At 49.1% G+C, this 2,970-nt stretch overlaps 2 annotated features.

Annotated features, from left to right (window-relative positions):
• Positions 1 to 1,200: an enhancer, noted in NCBI's record as "CDK7 strongly-dependent group 2 enhancer chr15:58624073-58625272 (GRCh37/hg19 assembly coordinates)". NCBI's record gives its function as "activates an origin of replication core promoter dependent on BRD2, BRD4, P300/CBP, MED14 and CDK7 cofactors, with strong dependence on CDK7, by STARR-seq in HCT116 cells {active_cell/tissue: HCT116}" and the evidence as "EXISTENCE:reporter gene assay evidence [ECO:0000049][PMID:35650434]".
• Positions 550 to 844: an enhancer, noted in NCBI's record as "tiled region #459; HepG2 Activating DNase unmatched - State 1:Tss, and K562 Activating DNase unmatched - State 1:Tss". NCBI's record gives its function as "activates a minimal TATA promoter and a strong SV40 promoter by Sharpr-MPRA in HepG2 and K562 cells {active_cell/tissue: HepG2 | K562}" and the evidence as "EXISTENCE:reporter gene assay evidence [ECO:0000049][PMID:27701403]".

The raw sequence follows: 2,970 nt of genomic DNA, 5'->3' as shown, positions 1-2,970 counted from the left end.
AACTGCCTTCAGAGTGATCTATGTTTTCTGGGAGAGAGAAAGCTTAACCCCAATCCCCCAGGACTGCAGGGATCCCTGCAGGTAGAGGGGGGACAGTCTGCCAAACACAGAACCCCTCTGAGAGAAGAACAAAGGGCAGAGCTGAAATTCCAGCAGTCATCTCTCCTTAAAGGTTGCCCTTGTTGCCTCCATTCATGGAGGAGAGAGTTGGCCCCATTCACTCAGCAGCACAAGTCTGATTCTCCTGATAGTGTGGTGAGTAGACAGTGCAGAGGGCCTGGGAGACAGAAGACCCAGGTTCTATTCCCAGTTCCACCTCTAATTCACTTTATGACCTTGGTCATGTTGCTTGACCTCTCTGGGCCTCAAATTCTTTTCCAGAAAATGAGAAGATTGATTTAAATGATCTCTAAGGCTCCTTTGTGTGTATGTGAAAATATGACTGGGGGATTCAGGGAAGGCTGGGTACTTGTTCCCTTTTAGAGCTGTCTCTGAAACGCAGCTTAGCATTTGGCACTGGGGGTGGGAAACAAAACAGAGAATCAGCCTTGAGATGTGACAGACCTGTGGGCTGCCTGTCCTGTCTCCTTCACAGGGCTCTGGGGCGTCTCACATTTCCTAGAGTGTAGCTGCCTCATGGAAGAGGGCAGAAGGCCTGGTGACAAAGCAGCAGATCTTGTCAGCTGACTCCCCTGCCTTCCATCCCCCCACTGACCTCGGAGTGGTGAGTCACGCTTCGTCACCCAGGGTTACTGGCAGCAGGCCCCACACAACTTCTTCAGCTTGTCAACACCCAGGATAGAATAAATCATCAGAGACCCATTTTTAGCCAAGAGTGAAAAATGAAGTCACCAGGAAAAGCAATAGAAGATGCCAATTAGGAATGCAAATAGGAAGCGAGGGTTTGTTGAAGGACAGGGTTATCTTCGCAGGGAGCCAATCCCCGGAAGGCTGCAGGCTTCTGGATTTGCAGTCTGAGTTTGCAGCATCTGGTGAGGAGGGCTCTGGGAAGAGGCCCACAGCTGGGTGGGAGTGACCACAACACTTCCTGCCCTCTTCCACTTTCAAAACCACATCAGCCAGGCTGAGGGATCTTAGCTTCTTCTTGCTCCAGGAAGTGGGTCTTAGAATTATCACATCACAGGGAATTAGGAGGGAGATGCTGAATTCTCTAATCTAGTGACTTTCCTGTCTTTTGTTCTGTTTTATTTTAGGAGCAGGACAAACAGGGAGGGGAGGGTTTGCAGCCTGCAGGCTGAGCCTCCCTCTCTTTTTCTTCCCTACTCTGGGCTAGACTAATTTGTCTCAAAGGCTCTTCCGCTTTTACCATTCTGTAGTTCATTGTCAGATTTCAAAATAACACATTCCAGCAGTGTTGAGCATGTGGGCAAATTCTGATGAAATAATACCATTTCAGTAAAAAGAAAAAAACCCGGTTCTGTCACTTTTATTAGCTATGGGATCATAGTTAAACCTCAATTTCCTTATCTGTAAAATGAAGAAAATAAAAGTACCTATCTCAGAAGGTCTTTGGGAAGATTGAATTAAGATAATAAAGGTCAACTCTTGCTCAACACAGTCCTATCCATAAACATAGGCAATAGTGTTGCTGAATAGAAAATAAAAGCTGGTGGGACCCACGGTCTCCTAGGGAGACAGTAGGAGCCGGGTGCTGCTCCAAAGTCTGGGGGCCCATTCTATGCTCTGTGGGTCTCCTGAAGGGACTCAGTGAATTCTCGGAGGAGACACCTTGCAACACGTTCCTGTGCAAATCCTGCAGGAAATCTAGGGGTTTCTCCCTGGACTTGGTTGGCTTTAACCCCTTCTCCTGGCCTCGTGTATGCCCCACTTCAGGAGGGAGGACAGCTTCAGTAAATGCACTAGGATCCAGAGAGGTAAGTAGCAACTTGTTTATGCAGCCATTCATTTATTCACTCATTCATCCAGCAAAGACTCTGTACCCATCTATACGTGGCAGTGCAGCCAAGGCTGGGAGGATTCAGAGATGACTGAGCCTGGGTCTTTCTCTTAGCAGCTGTGGGGAGGGGCCAGCTTCCTCGGGGCTCAGCTTTTTTCTCAACTCCCACCTTGTCTCCTCCCTCTCCTGCCCATTAGTCTTGGGCTCTGGTGATTTTAACTTGAAAATGACCCTTATATTCATGGGCCTCTTCCTCCTAGGCTGCTACTTGAAACCCCAGAAGTGGGTGAGATTGCCAAAGGACAGAATATCCGGAAAAGAGAATTTACATCAGTGTGAAATCTTGGGAAATGTGTACATATGAAAGAAGGATGTAGAAAAAAAAAAAAAGGCTTTGGAGGGGGCAGGCACTGGTGGATGTCCAGGTGTTACACAGGGGGTGGGGGAGCCCAGCTAAGGCTGCTGGATGATGAGTAGCCTGGGGAGCAGCACACAGGAGCAGGTAGGTTTGTGCTTTTAAGAAAAGCGGACTGTCTAAGCAGGTAGTCAGCCTCAGGCTGCAGATAGGACAGTGGACAGGGTTCGGTGGCCAGAAATTCTCGGGGCTGGATGATTCTCAGAAGTCCAAAGCTGGGGAGCAGCATCAGATTTCAGGCTTCTGCCTCTGGCCAGACCCCAGTCCCGGCAATGAGGCGGAGTTCTGCCAAGAACAAGGCAGTTTCTAGTTCTAAAGTGGTGGAACAGGATAAGGATTCAATTTCCCACACTGGGCATTCGGTTAGGGCCAGCCCAGCAGGGAGGGGGTTGGCCTGCAGGCACAGATCTGGTGGCCTCAGCTGGGGGAGAACAGGTCTGGCAGGGGTTGGGAACTAGGCTGGGCTGATGTTCCCAGAGAAAGGTAAACACAAGGAAGTACGTCTGAGGTAGAATTGATTAACTGGGTTGTTGGGCTAGATTGATTGGAAGATTGTGACCTTTGCCTTTGATATCATCGTGGGCCAACCACAGGGAGTATCTTCTCCTCATTCAGACACAAGTGCATAGACTATAGG

Source organism: Homo sapiens, chromosome 15 (assembly GCF_000001405.40).
Source record: "Homo sapiens chromosome 15, GRCh38.p14 Primary Assembly".
NCBI classification, from domain to species: Eukaryota; Metazoa; Chordata; class Mammalia; order Primates; family Hominidae; genus Homo; species Homo sapiens.
The sequence above is the reverse complement of the archived record's forward strand: the minus strand, read 5'-3'. Positions and strand labels throughout refer to the sequence as shown.